At 46.3% G+C, this 21,402-nt stretch overlaps 1 long non-coding RNA gene across 1 annotated transcript, besides 1 other annotated feature; it reads left to right on the top strand.

The window, feature by feature from the left end:
- Positions 282-576: an enhancer, noted in NCBI's record as "tiled region #13461; HepG2 Activating DNase unmatched - State 12:CtcfO, and K562 Activating DNase matched - State 12:CtcfO". NCBI's record gives its function as "activates a minimal TATA promoter and a strong SV40 promoter by Sharpr-MPRA in HepG2 and K562 cells {active_cell/tissue: HepG2 | K562}" and the evidence as "EXISTENCE:reporter gene assay evidence [ECO:0000049][PMID:27701403]".
- Positions 504-20,183, top strand: LOC105369976 (uncharacterized). The gene is made up of 3 exons (XR_945334.2): positions 504-662; positions 13,234-13,506; positions 20,067-20,183. It is a non-coding gene; the product is annotated as an uncharacterized LOC105369976 (long non-coding RNA).
- The last annotated feature ends 1,219 nt before the right edge of the window (positions 20,184-21,402 follow it).

Genomic DNA, 21,402 nt, shown 5'->3' with positions numbered 1-21,402 from the left:
GAGATTCAAGGAGGAGAAGGAAGAGGAGAAATACTACAGAGGAATCCACTTAAATGAAAATCTGATGTAGGGACAGCCAAGTAGTAGCAATATTTCAAATCACAGTTTACGTGGTAGTCTATACCTAAGAAGAGAAAGAAAAACTTTTTTAAAAAGCCAAATAATTCTTTGCTGTGGGGCTGTCCTGCATCGTAAGATTTTAGCAGCATCCCTGGCCTCTACTCAGTAGCTGCTAGTAGTATCCTGCCCTCAGTTGTGGCAATCAAAAATGTGAGCAGACAGTACCAAATGTCCCCTCCAGGATAAAATCACCGCTGGTTGAGATCCAGAGGCCTAAGCCTTCATGTCAATCTCATTCCCTGGCTAGTGATTGGTTTAGGCAGGGCCACGTGATCCATTTCTGGCCAATGAGATGTGAGAGCAAATCAGCTGGGGTGGGTAGTTCCTTTTATAAAGAGACACAAGGAAGAGGCCTTTTATCTTCCTTTGGGTGTTGCCCCCTTGTGGCTGCCATGCTTGGGAATGCAGTTGCCATCTTGTATCCATGAGGGGGACTCACACTAAAGGGCACTTTTGCCCATCGTGATGAAGGTGAAAAAATGGAGAGAAGCTGCTGCTGTTGTTTAGTAGCTACCTTTGCTACCTTGCAGTTTACTTGTTAGGTGAGGTGGAAATTTTCCTAATGTTTACGTGTTTAAGCTAATTTGAGTTGCACTTTTCTGTTACAGCATCTTATCCAACCCAGGAGTCTGTTGATGACATAGCACACACAAACAGATCAAAACAACAAACAAGGCCGAGCGCGGTGGCTCACACCTGTAATCCCAGTACTTTGGGAGGCCGCGGTAGGAAGATCACCTGAGGTCAGGAGTTCCAGACCAGCCTGGCCAATATGGTGAAACCCCTGTCTCTACTAAAAATACAAAAATTAGCCAGGCATGGTGGCGGGCGCCTGTAATCCCAGCTACTCGGGAGGCTGAGGCAGGAGAATCTCTTGAACCTGGGAGGCGGAGGTTGCAGTGAGCTGAGATCGTGCCGCTGCACTCTAGCCTGGGTGACAAGAGCAAAATTCTGTCTAAAAAAAAAAAAAATTTATGGTAGTGCACGCCTGTAGTCCAGCTACTCGGGAGGCTGAGGCAGAAGAATCACTTGAATCTGGGAGGTGGAAGTTTCAGTGAGCTGAGATCGTGCCACTGCACTCCAGCCTGGGCGACAGAGCGAGACTCCATCTCAAAACAAAAACAAAAACTATAACAACAAACAAACAACAACGTCAAAAGACCATCAAAACCAGTGATTGGATGTTTGGGGTGTGGATATCAGAATCTGGAGTTGGGGACAGGTGTGTCATTTGATAGTCCTTTTTGAGAACCACTGTCTATGTAAAGCTATTCCAGTTTCCTATGGGATTGCTAATAATGGTGTGGCTGCTGAGACAGGGAAAGGGGCTTAATTCCTTTTCCAAAACAAGGAGCAATATTTGGATGAGCACTCACTCACTACATTTCATCACATAAAAACTGCAGAACGCCAGGTTCTGTTGTTAAGCTAATATTTCTGGGAGTCAACCAGTCTGTAAGATGGAGCTGATTGTGAATATGCTAGTGCCGGGTGCAGTGGCTCACTGCTGTAAATCCCAGTTACTTGGGAGGCCAAGGTGGGAGGATCACTTGAAGCCAGGAGTTTGAGGCCAGCCTGGGCAACATAGTGAGACCCTGTTGCTAAAATAAATAAATAAAACCTGAAGAGGAGGGGCTTGGTGGCTCACGCCTGTAATCCCAGCATTGTGGGAGGCTGAGGCAGGTGTATCAACTGATGTCAGGAGTTTGAGACCAGCCTGGCCAACATGGTGAAACCTTGTCTCTACTAAAAATACAAAAATTAGCCAGGCGTGGTGGCTCTTGCCTGTAGTCCCACCTACTCGGGAGGCTGAGGCCTGAGAATCGCTTGAACCCAGGAGGTGGAGGTTGCACTGAGCCGAGATTGCGCCACTGCACTCCAGCCTAGGTGTCAGAGCAAGACTCTGTCTCAAAACAAACAAACAATCAAACAAACAAAAAAACACCTGGAGAAAAAAAAGAACAAGAAAATGCTAAGCCAAATGACATAACCTCTAGAGGCCACTGTTTGCTCACCTGTAAACTGGAGGAGAATAAGATGAGAATTCTGATATTGAGGATCAGAAAGTGCTTCATGAACCATAAAGCAGGTAATGGATTATCGATGCCATGCAGCCCAGACATACAGCAATGTGTTCATACCATTCTGATAGTCTAAATTTAGGATGTGGTGTGACCAAAATTACCGGTTAAGTTTCTTATGCTTCTGAGGCTCTACTTCCTCATCTGTGCACTGTGGCAAGACCTTATTCTGACTATGCGCTGAGGATAAAATAAGGCTCTTTGAAAAAGAGTGACACAGACCACTAACTAATTATTTAAATGTTCTTGTCCAAGGCCAGACAAAAGCAACGCAGATCCATAGAGAATGTTGGTGCATCACTGCCCTCTGCTGGTCAGTAGCAGTACCACCATGGTTTCAGAGAGGAAAGGGTCTTTACAAAGGGATTCCTGGAAAACTGAGGCACAGAGAGGGGAAGAGATTTGCTCAAGGGCACAGAGTTAGCTTTGGACAAAGTGAAGTCCAAATTTGAGATTCCTGATCCCTAGCTCTTTCTAGAGGGAGAAAAATAAGGCTGGAAACTCGTTGATTTTGATTTCACTCTCACTAGGCTCTGCACAGCATTTCTTTCTTTTCTTTTCTTTTCTTTTTTTTTTTTTTTTTGAGACAGAGTCTTGCTCTGTTGCCCAGGCTGGCATGCAGTGGCATGATCTCGGCGCACTGCAACCTCTGCCTCCCAGGTTCAAGCAATTCTCCTGCCTCAGCCTCCCGAGTAGCTGGGATTACAGGCGCCCGCCACCATGCCTGGCTAATTTTTGTATTTTTAGTAGAGATGGGGTTTCACCATATTGGCCAGGCTGGAATTGAACTACTGACCTTGTGATTTGCCCGCCTCAGCCTCCCAAAGTGTTGGGATTACAAGTGTGAGCCACTGTGCCCAGCTCTGCATGGCGTTTCTAAATAGCCTGATTGGAATTTCTCTCTCCTGGTCTTCCTTTGCCACCCAAACTGCTCGGGTTTCTTGTCCTTTTTTTTTTTTTTTTTTTTTTTTTGAGACAGAGTCTCACTGTGTCGCCCAGGCTGGAGTGCAGTGGAGTGATATCAGCTCACTGCAACCTCCGCCTCCTGGGTTCAAGTTATTCTGCCTCAGCCTCCAGAGTAGCTGGGATTACAGGCGTGTGCCACCACGCCTGGTTAATTTTTGTATTTTTAGTAGAGACAGGTTTTTGCCATGTTGGCCAGGCTGGTCTCGAACTCCTGACCTCAAGTGATCCACCCGCCTCGGCCTCCCAAAGTGCTGGAATTACTGGCATGAGCCACTGTGCCTGGCCTTTTGTCCTTTTTTTCATAGCTGGATAACTACTGCGGCCCCATAAGGCCCAAAGTCCTCTTGGGTGCTAGGTGCTTTACGAAAATTATCTTGGATTCTTACAACTACTTTGTAAGTTAGGCCAGGAAACTAAAGCTCAGACAGGTTAAGACACTCGCCGGAGGTCCAACAGCCAATAAAGCACAGAAGCTGGGATCTGAGCACTCACTTGAGACGCCCCCCAAGGCCCACAATCTATTCGCCACCAAAAAACAAAACAAAGCAAAACACTGTGGTAATTTGTGTTGAAGATGATCTATTTAAAATAATCTTGTGTTTTTTGATTGCCCCGAATCATATTTGCTGGGCAGACACACGATGAAGCCATAGTGGAGGGAAGACTTTTTTTTTTGAGACGGAGTTTCACCCTTGTTGCCCAGGCTGGAGTGCAATGGCATGATCTCGGCTCACTGCAACCTCCGCCTCCCGGGTTCAAGCGATTCTCCTGCCTCAGCCTCCCTGAATAGCTGGGATTACAGGCATGCGCCACCACCCCGGCTAATTTTGTATTTTTAGTAGAGACGGGGTTTCTCCATGTTGGTCAGGCTGGTCTTGAACTTCTGACCTCAGATGATCCACCCGCCTCGGCCTCCCAAAGTGCTGGGATTACAGTCGTGAGTCACCATGTCTGACCAGGAATACTTTTTTTTTGAGCACCTGTCACGTGCTGGTGATACTCACTTGCGTTATCTCTGTTAATTCTCCTGTTGACACAATATGATCTTGAATCCTGTCCACAATATTGAGGCACAGATGAAGAAATTAGTTCAAAGAGGTTAAGACATTTGCCCAAGGTCATTCGGTGAAAGCTGGGATTCAGACTCTAATCTCCCTGCTTGATGTTAGAATCTAAGTAATTATGCTTTTTTTTTTTTTTTGAGATGGAGTTTCTCTCTCGTTGCCCAGGCTGGAGTGCAATGGTGCAATCTCGCCTCACTTGAACCTCTTCTGTCTCAGCCTCCTGAGTAGCTGGGATTACAGGTGCCCGCCACTACACCCGGCTAATTTTTTGCATTTTTAGTAGAGATGGGGTTTCACCATGTTGGCCAGGCTGGTTAAATTATGCTTTTAAAAACATAGATAGGGGAAAACATAGGGAGGCAGTCAGGATGGACCACAGGCTTCCCCACCATGAAACCCTTTAGACTCTCTCACAGAAATGAGGGGAACTGAGCCAAGTGCAGTGGCTCATGCCTGTAATCCCAACTTGGGAGGCTGAGGCAGGAGGATCGCTTGAGCACATGAGTTCAAGGCTGCAGTGAGCCATGATTGTGCCACTGCATTCCAGCCCGGGCAACAGAGTGAGACTCTAACTCAAAAGAAAAGAAAAGAAAGAGGAAAGGAAGAGGAAAGGGAGGGGAGAGGAGCAGGGGAGGGAATGGGAGGGGAGAAGCGAAGCAAAGCTGGGCGCAGCGGCTCAGGCCTGTAATCCCAGCACTTTGGGAGGTTGAGGCGGGCATATCACCTGAGGCCGGGAGTTCGAGACCAGCCTGACCAACATGGAGAAACCCAGTCTCTACTGAGAATACAAAATTAGCCAGGCATCGTGGCACATGCCTGTAATCCCAGCTACTCGGGAGGTTGAGGCAGCACAATCGCTTGAACCCAGGAGGTGGAGGTAGCGGTGAGCCGAGATTGCACCATTGCACTCCAGTCTGGGTAACAAGAACGAAACTCTGTCTGAAAAAAAGAAGAGGGGCCAGGCATGGTGGCTGATGCCTGTAATCCTAGCACTTTGGGAGGCCAAGGCAGGCACATCACTTGACCCTAAGAGTTTGAGACCAGCCTAGGAAACATGGTGAAACTTGTCTCTACAAAAAATACAAAAATTAGCTGGGCATGGTGGCAGATGCCCTGTAGTCCCAGCTACTTGAGAGGCTGAGGTGGGAGGATCACTGAGCCTGGGGAGTCGAGGCTGCAGTGAGCTATGATCACCCCTCAGGACTGGAAGTCCTCCTAGTCTGGGTTCAAACCCTACATTTGTGAACACTACTGTGTGCCAGGCCCTGGCAAAGCATATGTCTTTTAATTCTCCTGACAACACTGTGAGATTGGTACAGTTATTATCACCATTTTACAGGTGAGCAAACTGAAGCTCTGAGACATTCATTAAGTATCTTGCTTAAGAGCAAGAGCAGTGGGCGAGCCCAGGTGTTGATAATTTGCCACCATTTGTTGGGATGCTTCATGGTCTTATTCCTCCCCATTTGCAGACAGGAAAACAGAGTTACAGACAAATGAAAGTGATTTGCCTCAGGATCTTTGTATTTGCTGTCCTCTCTGCCTGGAATGCTCTTCCCAGTTATCTCCTTGGCTCACCCTCTCACCTTCTTAAGGTCTTCACTTAAAAGTCATCATCTTAGGGAGATCTTTTCTGATCACCCTATTTAAAAGTTTAGGCTGGGCATCATGGCTCACAACTATTAATCCTAGCACTTTGGGAGGCTGAGGCAGGAAGAACACTTGAGACCAGGAGTTTGAGACCAGCCTGGGCAACATGATAAAACCTGGGCTCTATAGAAAATACAAAAATTAGCCTGGTGTGGTGGTACATGCTTGTGGTCCCAGTTACACAAGAGACTGAGGTGGGTGGGAGGATTGCTTGAGCCAAGGAGGTTGAGGCTGCAGTGAGCCATGATTGTGCCACTGCACTCCAGCCTGGGTGATAGAGTGAGACCTTGTCTCAAAAAATAAATAAATAAGGCCGGGCACAGTGGCTCAAGCCTGTAATTTGGGAGCACTTTGGGAGGCCAAGGTGGGTGGATCACCTGAAGTCAAGAGTTCGAGACCAGCCTGGCCAACATGGTGAAACCCTGTCTCTACTAAAAGTACAAAAATTAGCCAGCTGTGGTGGCAGGCGCCTGTAATCCCAGCTACTCAGGAGGCTGAGGCAGGAGAATCACTTGAACCCGGGAGGTGGAGGTTACAGTTAGCCGAGATTGCGCCACTGCACTCCAGCCTGGGCGACAAGAGTGAGACTCTGTTTCAAAAATAATAAATAAATAAATAAATAAAACCCCATGCTTCTAACTCAATGACAAAAAGACAACCCAAGTCACACGTGAGCAAAGGACTTGAATAGACATTTATCTAAGAAGATATACACATGGCCAATGACCACATGAAAAGATGCTTACCACATAATAATTTGTATTAGGGAAACGCCAACCAAACCACATGACATACGACTTCATTTCACTAGGTCGATTATTAGTTTTAAAATGGAGGCCAGACGCGGTGGCTCACGCCTGTAATCCCAGCACTTTGGGAGGCCGAGGTGGGCAGATCACCTGAGGTCAGGAGTTCAAGACAGCCTGGCCAACATGGCGAAACCTGGTCTCTACTAAAAATACAAAAAGTAGCTGGGCGTGGTGGCAGGTCCCTGTAATCCCAGCTACTCAGGAGACACTATAATCACTTGAATCCGGGAGGTGGAGGTTGCAGTGAGCTGAGATCGCACCACTGCACTCCAGCCTGGGTGACACAGCGAGACTCTCTCTCAAAAATAACAAGTATTGGTGAGAAGATAAAGACATTGGAGCCTTTGTATATCACTGATAGGAATGTAAAATGATGCTGCTGCTGTAGAAAACAGTTTGGCCATCCCTCAAAAAGTTAAACATAGAATTACCATATGACACAGCAGTTCCACTCTTAGGTTTTTACCCAAAAGAATTGGAAACAGGGATTCAAACACAAGATTTTTTATTTTTATTTTTTAATTTTTAGTAGAGACGGAGTTTCACTGTGTTGGCCAGGCTAGTCTCGAACTCCTGACCTCAAGCGATCCATCCATCTCAGCCTCCCAAAGTGCTGGGACTACAGGCATGAGCCACTGCACCCAGCCTCAAACAGATACTTGTAACCTGAATGTTCATAGTAGCACTATTCACAATAGCCAAAGATGGAAACAACTCAGATGTCCCTAAACAGATGAATGAATTAAAAAAATGTGGTCTATCCATGCAATTCAATTTTGTTCAGCCATAAAAAGGAATGAAAGGCACATGCTACAACATGAATGAATCTTGAAAACAAGGTGAGCTTCTTGTGAAAGGAGCTAGTGACAGAAGGCCACATAGTGTATGACGCCATTTATGTGAAATATCCAAAAACAGACAAATCCATACAGAGAAAGAAAACTGGTGGTTACCAGGGGCTGCAGGAAGGGGGAATGGAGAGGGACTCCTTAATGGGTATGGGGTTTCCTTCTGGGACAATGAGAATGTTCTGGAACTAGACAGAGATAGTGGTTGCACAACATTGTGAATGAACTAAATGCCACTAAATTGTTCACTTAAAAAAAAAATAGAGGCCGGGCACGGTGGCGCACATCTGTAATCCCAACACTTTGGGAGGCCGAGGCAGGTGGATCACCTGAGGTCAGGAGTTGGAGACCAGCCTGGACTTGAACTCTGGTGAAACTCTGTCTCTACTAAAAAAATACAAAAATTAGCCGAGTGTGGTGGCTCATGCCTGTAGTCCCAGCTACTCGGGAGGCTGAGGCACGAGAATCACTTGAATCCAGGAGGTAAAGGTTGCAGTGAGCTGAGATCACGCCTGTACTCCAGCCTGGGTAACAGAGTGAGACTTGGTCTCAAAACAAACAGACAAACAAACAGTAACAAAAATAGAGATGGTGTCTTGTCATGTTGCCCAGCTGGTCTCCAACTCGTGGGATCAAGCAATCCTCCCGTCCCAGCCTCCCAAAGTACTGGGATTATAGGCCTGAGCCCGCGCACCAGCAAATTGTTCACTTTTAAATGGTTAATTTCATGTTATGTGAATTTCACCTCAATGGAAAAGCTCAACCCCAAACACGCCTTATCTTCCCTCCCTGCCTGATTTTTCTCCTAGTGTACAGGGCTCCTCATATACAGTATGTCCGACTTATGTGTCCATTGTTCATCCTGCTTCTTTAAAATATAAATTCCAACAGGGTAGGGGTTTTGTCTGTTTTATTAATTCACGTATCCCCAAAGAGTCTCTGGTACTCAATAAATATTTGTTGAATAAATGAATTAGATAGGGTGTGGGGATGAAGAGAGTCCCACCACCATCCGCACCCCCATCTCTAATTCTAACCGGCTCCTGTTAATGATGATCCCCAGTCTGGGCTGATTTTCCCCTCCTTTTCCTGAAGAGCAGCATCCACAGGCTCTCGCTCAGCTCAGCCCCTTTATATCCTTCTCTGCTGAGAGTTTGAGATAAAGGGGGCCACAAGATAAGACAATGAATCCATCACAATGTGTGATGAGCTGTCTGCTCTGTGGCTTCCCACAGCAATTTATCATGACCTGGAACCATAGCTGTGAGGCTGGGTGTTCACCCGCCAGGATCTTGCTCCCCAACTGCTTTGGAGGGGGATGTTTACAGGAACTTGTCAATAACCATTTACTGAACAGCTGCTCAGATACAGCCCGGTCCCAGGCACTCAGCCAAACGAAAAATGAACTATATAATCATTCATTCATTTGGTGATTCATTCATTCTGTGATTGATTGATTGATTCATTCATTCATTCATGTGGTTGTCAAACATTCACTGAGCACCTACTATGTACCTTGGACTGTGGTACTTGATTTCAAAGATGTCAACGCATTATAGACCAGGATTTCTCAGCCTAGGCACTGTGGACTTTTGTTTTGTTTTGTTTTTTGTTTGTTTTTGTTGTTTTTGAGACAGGGTTTCACTCTATGGCCCAGGCTGGAGTGCAGTACACGATCATGGCTCACTGCAGCCTCAACCTCCTGGGCTGAAGCTATCTTCCCACCTCAGCCTCTCAAGTAGCTGTGACTACAGGCACACACCACCATGCCCGGCTAATTTTTTTGTATTTTCTGTAGAGATAGGGTCTCCCCATATTGCCTAAGCTGGTTTTGAACTCCTGGGCTCAAGCAATCCTCCTGCCTCGGCCTCCTAAAGTGCTGGGATTACAGGTATGAGCCACTATGCCTGTCCCAGCCACTGTGCATACTGGGACCAGACATTTCTTTGTCACGGGGATTGTCCTATACTTTAGCAGCAACTCTGGCTGTAGATGCCAGTAGCACTCCCTCAGTCATGACAACTAAAATGTCTCCAGACATTGCCAAACGTCTTTGGGGCACACAGTCACCCCTAGTTGAGAATCACTGGTCTAGACAAGTATATCTTCCACAAATTATGAGAGAGAGAAAAAAACGCATTTGTTTGCTGTTCTCTCTCTCTCTCTCTCCCTCTCCCTCTCCCTCTCCCTCTCCCTCTCTCTCTCTCTCTCTCTCTCTCTCTCCCTACTTGCCTACCTATCTAGCTAGTTAAATTGGAAGGCAAGAGCATAATTACAGCTAACATTTGTAAAGGGCACATAATAAGTGGTCATTTTATCTTGGTTATTCTCACAACAAGTCTACGGAGAAAATACCACTAACGCTCATTTTATATATGAAGAAATCAAGGTTCAGAGATGTTAAGCAAGTTGTCCAGGGTCACATGAAGATTAAGCGGCAGAGATGGGGTTCAAATCCAGGTCCATATGACTCCAGAGCACAGGCTCTGCACCACTGCACCACACATTCCCTGGCACAGAGCCTCACACATCATAGTGATCAATAAACATGTATTGCCTGGATGAATGAACACAAGGATGGGGCAAAGATTCTGAGAAAGGCCTGGAGAAGCATAGGCTGCAATTTGGGGACTTGACGTTCTGGAGGAACATGTATTATCTTAATTATTTCCATCCATCAGTCCATCCATCCATCCATCCATCGATCTATCCACTCATTCACCAAGTATTCCCCAAACATCTGAGTTGTGCCTGGCACCTAGGAGGAATTCTGGTTTCAAGATCTCATAGTCAGCTGGGCATGGTGGCTCATGCCTGTACTCCCAGCACTTTGGGAGGCTGAGGCAGACAGATCACTTGAGGTCAGGAGTTTGAGACCAGCTTGGCCAACGTGGTGAAACCCTGTCTCTACAAAAATATAAAAATTAGCCAGGCATGGTGGCATGCACCTGTAGTCCCAGCTACTTGGGAGGCTGAGGCAGGAGAATCGCTTGAACCCGGAAGGCAGAGGTTGCAGTGACCTGAGATCACACCACTGCATTCCAGCCTAGGCGACAGAGTGAGACTCTGTCTCAAAAAAAAAAAAAAAAAAAAAAAAAATTTCTCATAGCCAAAGAGGATCCATGAAATGTGCTCAGCAATAATTGCAACATCAGCTACAAAGTGAGAAGCTATGTTATGAAGGGACACATAGATGCTAGGTTAGCCAAGACTTTTGGTCAAAAGTGAAAAAGTGATAGGCATGCCTGCTCCAATTGGTTTAAGCAATAAAGGGAGGTTACCGGTACCTAAATCTAGTCGAGGTTGCAGGTATGGCTTGATCAGGGTGTTCAAATGATGTCGTCAGAAATCCCTCCATCATTTCCCTCTGGTTTCCTCTAAGTCAACTTCATTCCCTGCTGGCATGATGGCCACCAAGAGCTTTAGGCACATAACCTGCCAGCTTAGCAACTCCAGCTCAAAGAGCACCACTTTTTCAATGATTTTAGCCAAAATTCCAAGACTCATATTAGACCAACCTGAATCATGTGCCTGCTCTTGAACAAAGCACAGTAGCCAGGAGAAAATATGCTTTGATTGTCTAGGACTGTGTCCTGGACCCACCCCTGGGACTTGTGGATGGGGACAGCTTGACCTAAGCCATATCAACTGAAAACATAGGAAGCATGGTGCTACCAAGAGATGTCTATTCCAGGTATGGTGGAGCCTCAGAGGAGAGCATAACTCTCTTTCAGCTGGTGGATCAGGGAAGGCTGATCCACCCTGTCCACCCTGGTCCAATAAGCCACAGCTATAGATATGAAGGTCTGTTGCGTTCAGGTTGAGCTAGAGGGGGAGGTTGGGCATGGCAGAAAAAAATCTATCCATCTCTGCTACAGTTAAATATTTGAATATTGAATTGTTTGTGGATCTTGTGAAATCAGTGACCTCTGAGGTCATCTAGGGACCCAGCACATTCCTACAGGACACAACCTAGCACCTGGTCAGAGCAATAGTTCATACCTGAGACCCTGAACTTTCAGACCCTCCCCTAGCCCCCACCAGCCTCTGTCAGTGCCAAGCTGGACAGAACAAACCACATGAGGTTGGTTGGGCCTCTTTCCCTCGGAAAAATGCAGAATGGTCATTTTTTGCCTGTACCTTCCCAGACAAATAAATTCTCTTCTGGGAGCTTTTTCCTGGCTGAGCTATGTTATACGTTTCATAGCCGCCCAGATCCCCTGGGAACCCAGAGTTCCTTCCACGTGTAGGACAGGCTAGTCATTCAGTTCCAGGTCAGAGGACTGTTTCATTTGTACTGGTGGCAGGAATTCTTGGTTGTCCTCAATTTGGTTGTCCTGATTTTCGGTGGGGAACATGGTCAACAGAATAAGGACTGCATTTCCCACCTTCTACTGCAGGTAGGTGTGACTGCATGACTAAGCTCCGGCCAATGACCAGCAAGTGGCAGTGATAGATCATGCCCTTCAAGGGAGGAACATGCCCCTTCTTTCTCCTTTCCTTTTTCTTCCAGCCTTCTGTTTAGAATTGAGTCCTGGTGGGAACCACTTAGGACCATGCTGATGAGGGTAACACCATATAGATGGCAGAGCTGGGGCTGGGCGTGGTGGCTCATGTTTGCTTTCCCACCACTCTGGGAGGCCAAGGTGGGAGGATTGCTCGAGCCCAGGAGTTTGAGACCAGCCTGGGCAACATAGGATAACCTCGTCTCTGCAAATAAACTCCTGGCTCAAGCAATCTTCCGACCTCAGCCTCCCAAGTAGCTGGGCTACAAGCACACACTACCATGCCTGGCTAATTTAAAATCTTCTTTATTTTTTTAGAGATGGGGTCTTGCTATGCTGCCCAGGCTGGTCTTGAACTCCTGGACTCAAGAGATCCTCCTGCCTTGGCCTCCCAAAAGTGCTGGGATTGCAGGCATGAGCCACTGTGCCTGGCTCATATTCTCAATAGAGAGGTCCCAATTGACCACTGGCCAGCCAATAGTCTGGCTCTCCTGGGCAGATGTTCACCCTGGTACAATAAGCCACAGCTATGGATATGAAGGTCTGTTGATTTCAGGTTGAGCTAGAGGGGGAAGTTGGGCATGGCAGAAAAGCCTATCAATCTCTGCTATAATTAAATATTTGAATATTGGATTACTGAACCTGGGCATAGAGTAGCCACTGTCCTTGTCTTCTAAGAGCTTATATCCTATTACTATTTTATTATTATTAATGACATATCATTGTTAATTAATAGCTTCAGTTCACTAAACATTATTAGGTGCCAGGCATGGTGCTTATGATTAGTCATCTCATTGAATTCCCTTAATGAAAATTAGTCAATCAGAGACCTTTCTTCACAGATCGCAACCTCAGGGATGTTTGGGATTTCAGAGATGTGTTTTGGGGAAAGAAGTATAATTATTCAACTTTCACTTAATCAGAGAAGCTAAGTGGTAGGTGGAGTTGTAAAGGAAGGCAAAGAACTGGGCAGGCAGATGCTAAGTGGGAGACTGTTCCAGGCATAAGAGAAATGGGGGTGGGTATGAAAAAAAGCGAGAGAGCGAGTGAGAGCCAAGGGAAATTTGGTTTGACTGGATAAAAAGGCCAGTGAAAAGAGGGAGTTTTGGTAAGAGCTATGCATGGGCAGGGAGAAGTACACAGATCTTCAATCACAGACTCTACCACCATCCCCTCTCCTCTTCCTGCAGGTGGGCAGAGCCAAGGTGCTGTCCCTACCCCTTCTTCCTGGGGCCTCCAGAGATCCTGAGCTCACCCTCCTGACCTGCCTGTCGGTTCTGGCCCTCACGTCCTGTTTGCTGTACCTACTTTATCCCATGTCACCATCTCCATGCCCCAGCCTGGTGACAATCCCACTTCCTACCCATTCCATTGGCTTCTCCATTTGACTTGGAGCTCTTCAGCTGGATCGAGACAACTACTCTGATGAATGCCACGTCACTGGGTCAACAGAATGGGCCCAAGTGAGTCAATATCATTGACATGAAGGTGCTGTCAGTTTGGTGGGGGCTGAGGGAATGAGACTGTGTTTTAGCTGTGTTCGTTTGATTGTGAGGAATAGACGGTCACACACTGAGGGCTTAGTATACAGATGCTCAGAGAGAAATACGGAAGACGAGATCTCGTAGAAAACAAGAGGAGATGTTGTAAATGAGTCAGGCTTCCTGGAGTCCAGGACTAGGGAGGAACTCTCTATTGAAGACCACTCTAGGGAATCTTCATGCTGAAGTCCCACATTCAGTTCCTCTCTTCCTTCTCTTGGTCTCTCTGCTTCTGCTTTTTATCTCATGTCCTAAATGTCCAACTATTCAGCATAACTTTACTCTGCTTCCCCTCTCCATGCTCTGTAGCAAAATGCCCTGTTGGAATTAAATTAAAAATTTTTATCTCTGCTTTAGCAAGAGAGATGGTGACTTGCTGATGCAAGGAAGGTATTTCTCCTTCCAAGAGCGATGTATTCAGCTTTTGGGTTAAAAAGGAGATGCTGTCAGGCACAGGTGGTTATCTGGGTAGATTACATAAAAACACACAAGAAATGCTCTTTGTGTTAAAAGAAGAAAAAAGAAAAAACAAAACTTGGCCAGGCACAGTGGCTCACACCTATAATCCCAGAACTTTGGGAGGCCAAGGCGGGCGGATTGCTTAAGGTCAGGAGTTCGAGACCAGCCTGGCCAACATGGCAAAACCCCATCTCTACCAAAAATACAAAAATTAGCCAGGTGTGGTGGCACACTCCTGTAATCCCAGCTACTCAGGAGGCTGAGGCATGAGAATCGCTTGAACCTGGGAGGCAGAGGTTGCAGTGAGCCAAGATCACGCCTCTGCACTCCAGCCTGGGCTACAGAACTAGACTCTGTCTCAAAAAAAAAAACCCAAAAAAACCTTGTTTCCTCAAAAACTTAAATATAGAATTACCACAAGACCCAGCAATTCTACTACTGGCTATATCTCCAAAGAATCGAAAGCAGAAACATGAACAGGAATTTGCAGAACCATGTTTATAGCAGCATTATCCCCAGTGAGCCGAGATTGTGCCGCTGCACTCTGGCCTGGGCAAGAGAGCGAGACTCTGTCTCAAAAAATAAAAATAAAAAATAAAAAAAGAAGTCCCAAAGTAGGGTAGCTCCTGAATTAGTTAACTCAATTGTTCGAACCAAGTTCTTACCATCATTCTGCTCTGCCATCCAGAGCATGTCATTTCAGAAAGACCATCTCTTCTCGCATCTGTTTCTTAGGAATGACTCCTTCCTTCTTTCCTTCCTTCCTGCCTTCTTGCCTTCTTTCCTTCCTTTCCTCTGTCCCTCCCTCCTTCCTTCCTTGACAGGATCTCAGTCTGTCAGACAGGCTGGAGTGCAGTGATGTGTTCATAGCTGATTGCAACCTTAGACTCCTGCACTCAAGTGATCCTCCCACCTCAGCCTCCCAAGTAGCTGCGACAACAGGCATGCACCACCACGCCTGGCTAATTTAAAAATTTTTTATAGACAGGTCTCACTATCAGCCCAGACTGATCTCAAACTCCTGAGCTCAAGCAATCCTCCCATCTCAGCCTCCCAAAGTGCTGAGATTACAGGTTTGAGCCAGTAAGCCCGGCCCCTACGTCTTTCTTTAGAAGCCCCACAACAAATTTCCTCTTGTGTTTCATAGCCATACACTTGTTTTCATACCCATTCCTACACCAGTCACCCACAAGTAGAATGGGACTAACATGATATTCCTGAATTGGGGATGATGTTGTCTTTCTCAAGAGTTTAAAACCTGAATAAAATTGGGGATTCTGTTAACAAGGAAAATAGAATGGTTTGTTTGTTTGTTTGTTTGTTTGTTTATAGAGGGGGTCTCACTCAGCACTCACTGCAGCCTCCACCTCCTGGGCTCAAATGATCCCCCACCAACTGCCACCCAGCTTCCAGAGTAGCTGGGACCGTAGGTGCATGCCACCATACCTGGCTATTTTTTCTTTTTCTTTTTTTTTTGTTTGAGATAGAGTCTCGCTCTGTCACCCAGGCTAGAGTGCAGTGGTGCAATCTCGATTCACTGCAGGCTCTGCAGTGAATGGGTATGAAAACAAGTGTATGGCTATGAAACACGAGAGGAAATTTGTTGTGGGGCTTCTAAAGAAAGATGTAGGGGCCAGGCCTACTGGCTCAAACCTGTAATCTCAGCACTTTGGGAGGCTGAGATGGGAGGATTGCTTGAGCTCATGAGTTCGAGATCAGCCTGGGCTGATACAGTGAGACCTGTCTAGAACTCCCGGGTTCAAGCGATTCTCCTGCCCCAGCCTCCCGAGTAGCTGGAATTACAGGCGCCCACCACCACACCCAACTAATTTTTTGTATTTTTAGTAGGGACGGAGTTTGGCCATGTTGGCCAGGTTGGTCTCAAACTCCTGGCCTCAGGTGATCCACCTACCTCAGCCTCCCAAAGTGCTGGGATTACAGGCATGAGCCACCACGCCCTGCCTCCACCTGGCTATATTTTCTATTTTTTATAGAGAAAAGGGGTCTCATTATGTTGCCCAGGCTGATCTTGAACTCCTGGGCTCGAGGGATCCTCCTGCCTCCCAAAGTGCTGGGATTTCAGGCATGAGCTCCCATGCCCCACTTAGAATGAATTTTGAATGGGCAATTAAGAGTGTCTGCTACACCCCTGAGACTGACAAGCTCTCGGGATTAATGGACACGTGGGAAGGACTGTTTCAAGCGTGCTTCTATTACCAACTAGCAAGTGAGGGGTATGAGTTCCCAAATTCTGGGTCAAAGGTGGCTCACTTACAGATTCTCATTCCAGCCTGTGAGATGGAGTAAAGGAAGAGTGGGGCGTGCTCTTTATTTTTAAGGTCATGACCTCTGCACAAACAGTTCCCTCTACTTCCTGCCCTAAGTAAGCCCTGGCTCTTCCCTGATAGTCCTTGAAGCCCTTACCAGGGAATGGTGGTCCTTCTCCCAACCCCATGGTGTCCTCTGTCCTCCACACCTCTATTACTAGATCCATAGTCCTCCATCTTGAGTAAGTGCTGAGGCTCCTGGCATCTGGCTGTACCACCTTCTGTGCCCTCTCATTGATGATGCCTACTCATCAATCAGTCAACCAACCTATCAACCCTTATTCTCAAAGGGCTTTGGCAACTGGCTTATCCTTCTCACCCCAGTTCCTACTGCCATACTGGTGACTTTAATGACCTAGGACCTGGCCGAACTCCTGGCCCCTCAGCTCCTGTCCCTTCTTATTCCAATGACCTTCACCTCCACTCTGCTTTAGCCACCATTTCCCTGGACCATGTCCTGGACCTTGGTTTCTCCTGGAAAAAATCTTCCTCTAAAGTCTCACATTTCTCTGATCACAGGCTTGCACCTTCTGTTCTTTTGGTCATTCCAGCTTAGCAGTTCTTTGAACTACAGAATCCCTTGGCCCTTCCACTTTCTCCCTCTCAGGACCCTCCTTCCTCCAATTCCTTTCCCATCCAGCCTAGATTCCATGATCTTTGCTATATCCAGGCATGGATGTTGTGAACGACTCCCCGACATCCATTCCAACCCAGATGGTTGGTCCAAGCAGGTCATGGTCATTCCCTGTCTTTTGTCAGGAGAGGAACAGGCGTGTGACTCACTTCTAGCACTAGAGGGTAGAGTGAGGTGGGACGAAAGGGACTCTGGGAAAGATTTTCCCATGAAAGAGACAAAAGAATTGATTATCTTTCTTTCTGAGGACGAACCCAACAACAAGGGTGGCAGTACAGAGAGAAAGAAAGAACCCAGATCCTTGACTATGTTGTCAAGCCACTAAATCAACACACTCTGAAGCTTATCTTGCCCCAGGATATCCTAGTACATGAAATAACCATTTATTTCATATTTAAGCCAGCTTGAGTCAGGCATTCTGCTACTTTCACACAAAAGCACCCTAAATAACATAATTTGCAACTTGTGGCAAAAGCCCAGTCCTGGATCAATGTAAATTTCCTTCCATGATGTTTATACCTGTTCTGGTTAGACTGGTGGAGAAGACAACAGGTCCTCAGTCCTCCAGAAACCTCAGACGTCTCTCTACCCTCCACCATTAGGAGAGCCTTAGTTTTCCTCATCTATCTCCAGCCTTTGTTTAGGGTTGCAGAAGACCTGGGTTGTTATGTAAAATGGCCAGCTATCTTGACTAGGAAACAGGTATTTTTTGAATTTCCCAAGGATAGCATGGGTATTCAGCTTGGGTAGAGAGGAATAGAGGGGAGATCTTGAGGTTTAAATAAACCCAGCATTTATAAGAAGGTAGGGTAGGTATATCCAGATTAAGCTGAGTGAACCAAGTCATTCCCAGTGGCTGAGTTGAGTCAGGGGACAAAGAAAAGCTTTCTGCTCTATGTTGTGGCCTGACAGGGGATGCAAGTCCCAGGAAAGGGTGATCTATGGGCAGAGCAACAGAATCAGCCTTTTGCTGCTGTATCTTGGGCCTGGCTAGTTACAGTCCCAGTAACACATGTTGACACCATAACAAACAGTAGACACCAATGATGACATACCTTAAAATTATGTGAACCACTTGGCAAGTCCTGGTGGGTTGCTGGGTGTGGAGGTGGAAGGCCGTTCCTGTTGGTGGGAAGGCCCCAGGTTGCTCCCATAATCTGTCACTTAGACTGCTGGCAATAACAAATTCATGGTCTCTAATTCTTACCACCACCCGGGAATTCCTGTTTTCCCTGTTGGCGCTCTCCTCCCGTTCACCATAGCAACTATTTTGAATCTTCTTGACACTCATCCCACTTCCCACCCTCTTGCCTTTCCTCTCATTCTCATCAGACAACTCTGCCTCCTATTTCTTTTTCTATTCTTTCCCTCCTTCCTTCCATCCTTCCTTCCTTCCTTTCCTTCCTTCCTTCTTTTTCTTTCTTTCTCTCTTTCTTTTTCTTTTTTTTTTTTTGAGACAGGGTCTTACTCTGTTGCCCAGACTGGGGTGAAGTGGTACAATCATGGCTTACTGCAGTCTTGACCTCCTGAGTTCAAGGTGATCCTCCTACCTCAGCCTCCCAAGTGGCTGGGACTACCCTGCCTCCTATTTCAATATTTGTGTTGAACTCAGGAGTTTGAGACCAGCCTGGCCAACATGGTGAAACCCTGTCTCTACTAAAAAAAATACAAAAATTAGCTGGGGGTGGTGGTGCACGCCTGTAATCCCAGCTACTAAGGAGGCTGAGGCAGGAGAATCCTTTGAACCCAGGAGGTGGAGGTTGCAGTGACCCAAGATCTTGCCACTGCACTCCAGACTGAGCGACAGAGCAAGACTCCATCTCATGGCTCACACCTGTAATCCCAGCACTTTGGGAGGCCGAGGCGGGTGGATCACTTGAGGTCAAGAATTCAAGGCCAGCCTGGCCAACATGGTGAAACCCCATCTCTACTAAAAATACAAAAGTAGCTGAATATGTTGGCACATGCCAATAATCCCAGCTACTTGGGAAGCTGAGGCAGAAGAATTGCTTGAACCCGGGAGGTAGAGGTTGCAGTAAGCCGAGATCGCACCACTGCACTCCAGCCTGGGCAACAAGAGCGAAACTGTGTCTCCAAAAAAAAAAAAAAGAAAAAGGAAAAGAAAATATTTTTTATTTTTATTTTGCTATGTTGTCCAGGCTGGTCTCAAAATCCTGGCCTCAAGTGATCCTCCCACCTCCGCCTCCCAAGTAGCTGGGACTATGGGCGTGAGCACAAGACTTCACACAAAATAGATGCCATCTATCTGATTGGGACTACCCTTACCTTACTTGCTTATTTGCAACTAAACTCACCTTTTCTTCTATCCCACAGATGTTGTAGCACTGTCCAGTTGAACTTTCTACAATGGTAGGCAAGTTCTGTATGTCTTTGCTGTTCAATATGGTAGCCATTAGCTACATGTGGCTATTGAAATACGGCTTGTACAACTGAAGAAGTGAATTTTAAATTTTATTTCATTTTAATTAATTTAAATTGAAGTAGCCACATGGGGTGAGTAGCCACCCTATTAGGCAGCACCAGTTTAGCATAACTAAAAGAAAAACATTTTTAGATACCAAGGCACGGGGGTTTCTGCTAACCCTCTGACATCACTAGGCAATAGACTCTTGATCAACTTATTTTAAGAATTCTGGGCCAGGCACAGTGGCTCATGACTATAATCCCAGCATTTTGGGAGGCCGAGGCAGGGGGATCACCTGAGGTCGGGAGTTCGAGACCAGCCTGACCAACAGGGAGAAACCTCATCTCTACTAAAAATACAAAATTAGCCAGGCGTGGTGGCGCATTCCTATAATCCCAGCTACTTGAGAGGCTGAGGCAGGAGAATCACTTGAACCCAGGAGGCGGGGGTTGCAGTGAGCTGAGACATTGCACTCCACTCCCATGGGCAACAAGAACGAAACTCGGTCTGAAAAGAAAAAGCATTCTGAATTAGGTGATGAGAAGGAAGCAAGAGAGAGTTAAAAAGGCACATTCACTGAGAAATAGCCCTGGAGAAATATAGAGGAAAATAATATTGCTTTGACATGTTGTTTTAGTCATGGCAGTTATCAAGAAAGAAACCACAGTGAACCACGGCTGGAACATTGCACACCCGACAGAGAAGAAAAGCCTTGGCCAGGCACGGTGGCTCACGCCTGTAATCCCAGCACTTTGGGCGGATCACGAGGTCAGGAGATCGAGACCATCCTAGCTAACACGGTGAAACCCCGTCTCTACTAAAAATACAAAAAAATTAGCCAGGCATGGTGGCGGGCGCCTGTAGTCCCAGCTACTTAGGAGGCTGAGGCAGGAGAATGGCGTGAACCTGGGAGGCAGAGCTTGTAGTGAGCCAAGACTGTGCCACTGCACTCCAGCCTGGGCGACAGAGCGAGACTCCATCTCAAGAAAAAAAAGAAAAAAAGAAGAAAAGCCTTGTATCGTGGCTGTAAAGCCCCGCTGGTACGGACATGTTCACAGAGTCTGTGGGAAGAAGTATGGAACACCAGCCAGGTAGAGGAGAGTGAGGTGTCATCATCAGTTGAGTAATTTCAAAGGGTGTCCAGTTATCTTTGTTTGCATTTTCTATCTTTAATGCAAAATGTGTGCAATACAAATAGAATGGTAACTTGCATGTCCCATTTTGTGTAGCTGATTTTGCTCACTTTTGGAGACTCTTGTTGGGGCAGTCCTGGAGAAATAGCTGAGAGAGCAAAACAGCTGAATATTCATTATTTTCTTAAGTGGTCGATAACTGCAAAAGCTCTATGTCATTTCTTAAACAGTTTCTTTCAGTCTCTTTACCTCTAGGTATGCTAGTTTACAAGGACTCTAGATGCCCTGGGAGCTTCAAAATGTTTCACCAATTATCAGAGGAAGGTAAGGCCTGCTGGAAACCAGAGCAAACCAGAATCAGGGACTCCTTGTTATCTTTAGATCATTAACTTATTATTATAATACTAAAATCCCCACCCATAGAAGAAAATTACTATTTTCTGACCATGCATCGTATGAAGACACATGTTTATGGTTTGTGCCTGCGCATCTAAAGTTCCTCCCTGCACAGACTTACAAACCTTTCCACCCCATATCTAACTCTTTAAAATTCTCCAGCTTTCCACAGCTTGGGGAGGAGGAGGTGTTTCTGGAGTGAGAGGTCACTCCTTCTCCTTCTCTGGCCAGAGAATAAATCCAGCTGGCCTTTTTTTTTTTTCCAATTTTGGTGTTCTTTCTTTGCAAGTGATATAAAATAAGGAAAGGACTCAGTTTACCTATGACAGTTCTATCACTTTATATTTTGAAAAGTTACACATCTTTTCAAATCTGTAAAGTTTGAGTACATTTTCCTCTCCCTCGGACCTCCCCTAAATGAGTAGCCAATTGTTTAAAGATCCT

Source organism: Homo sapiens, chromosome 12 (genome assembly GCF_000001405.40).
Source record: "Homo sapiens chromosome 12, GRCh38.p14 Primary Assembly".
Classification (NCBI taxonomy): Eukaryota; Metazoa; Chordata; class Mammalia; order Primates; family Hominidae; genus Homo; species Homo sapiens.
Note: the sequence above shows the minus strand (reverse complement) of the source record. Positions and strands in the feature narration are given on the sequence as shown.